At 41.9% G+C, this 1,754-nt stretch overlaps 1 annotated feature.

The window, feature by feature from the left end:
• Positions 203-408: a silencer, noted in NCBI's record as "fragment chr7:96727665-96727870 (GRCh37/hg19 assembly coordinates)". NCBI's record gives its function as "represses an EF-1alpha promoter that drives an FKBP-Casp9 reporter gene in an ReSE screen in K562 erythroleukemia cells {active_cell/tissue: K562}" and the evidence as "EXISTENCE:reporter gene assay evidence [ECO:0000049][PMID:32094911]".

Raw genomic sequence — 1,754 nt, forward strand, 5'->3', positions numbered from 1 at the left:
CCACCTTAGCTTCCCGAGTAGCTGGGGCTACAGGTATGCACCACCAGGCCTGGACAATTAAAACAATTTTTTTGTAGAAATGGTGTCTTGCTCTGTTGCCCAGGCTGGTCTCGAACTCCCGGGCTCAAGAGATCCCTCTGCCTTGACATCCCAAAGTGCTGGGGTTACAGACATGAGCCACTATGCCTGGTCTTCTAAATGCTTTTTACATATTAAATAGCTAAATTACACAGACGCTTTTTTTTTTTTTTTTTTTTTTTTTTGAGACAGAGTCTCACTCTGTTGCCCAGGCTGGAGTGCAGTGGCAAGATCTTGGCTCACTGCAACCTCCGCCTCCCGGGTTCAAGTGATTCTCCTGCCTCAGCCTTCCGAGTAACTGGGATTACAGGCACCCACCACCACACCCGGCTAATTTTTGTGTTTTTAGTAGCGACAGGGTTTCGCCATGTTGGCCAGGCTGGTCTCAAACTCCTGACCTCAGGTGATTCTTCCGTCTCTGCCTCCCAAAGTGCTGGGATTACAGGCATGAGCCACTGAGCCCAGCCTAACAGATGCTTTTTAAGTACCTACCAACATTCTCATTTTAAGAGGGGAAACTGAAGTCCAGAGAGGTTAAACAACTAGCCCAAGGCATAGACTTCAAAAGTGGCAGAGCTGGAATCTAGCTGAATATGACTTACTCACCTTAAATTTGTAATAATGAAGGATAGATACTGTATTCTTATATCAGACAAAACAGACTTCAAAGCAACAACAGTTTAAAAAGACAAAGAGGAACATTATGTAATGATAAAAGGATTAGTCCAACAGGAAAATATCACAATCCTAAATATATATGCACCTAACATGGGAGCTCCCAAATTTATAATACAAGTATTACTAGACATAAGAAATGAAATAGATGGCAACAAAATAATAGTGGGGAATTTCAATACTGTACTGACAACACTAGACAGGTCATCAAGACAGAAAGTCAACAAAGAAACAATGAACTTAAATTATACCCTAGAACAAATGGACTTAACAGATATTTACAGAACATTCTACCCAAGAACTGCAGAATATACATTCTTTTCATCAGCATATGGAACATTCTCCAAAACAGATCATATCATGGGCCACAAAACAAGTCTCAATAAATTTAAGAAAATTGAAATTATATAAAATAGCTTCTCAGATCACAGTGAAATAAAATTGGAAATTAATTCCAAAAGAAATCCTTAAAACGGCCGGGCGCGGTGGCTCACGCCTGTAATCCCAGCACTTTGGGAGGCCGAGGTGGGTGGATCATGAGGTCAGGAGATCGAGACCATCCTGGCTAACAAGGTGAAACCCTGTCTCTACTAAAAATACAAAAAATTAGCCGGGCGCGGTGGCGGGCGCCTGTAGTCCCAGCTACTCGGGAGGCTGAGGCAGGAGAATGGCGTGAACCCGGGAAGCGGAGCTTGCAGTGAGCCGAGATTGCGCCACTGCAGTCCGCAGTCCGGCCTGGGCGACAGAGCGAGACTCCGTCTCAAAAAAAAAAAAAAAAAAGAAATCCTTAAAACTATACAAATGCATGGAAATTAAATAATCTCTCCTCAATGATCTTTGGATCAATAATGAAATCAAGATGGAAATTTAAAAATTCTTTGAACTGAATGATAATAGTTACACAACTTACCAAAACCTCTGGGACACAGCAAAAAAAAGTGCGAAGAGGAAATTTCACAGCATTAAATCCTTACATCAAAAAGTCTGCAAGAGCACAAAAT

Source organism: Homo sapiens, chromosome 7, assembly GCF_000001405.40.
Source record: "Homo sapiens chromosome 7, GRCh38.p14 Primary Assembly".
Taxonomy (NCBI): domain Eukaryota; kingdom Metazoa; phylum Chordata; class Mammalia; order Primates; family Hominidae; genus Homo; species Homo sapiens.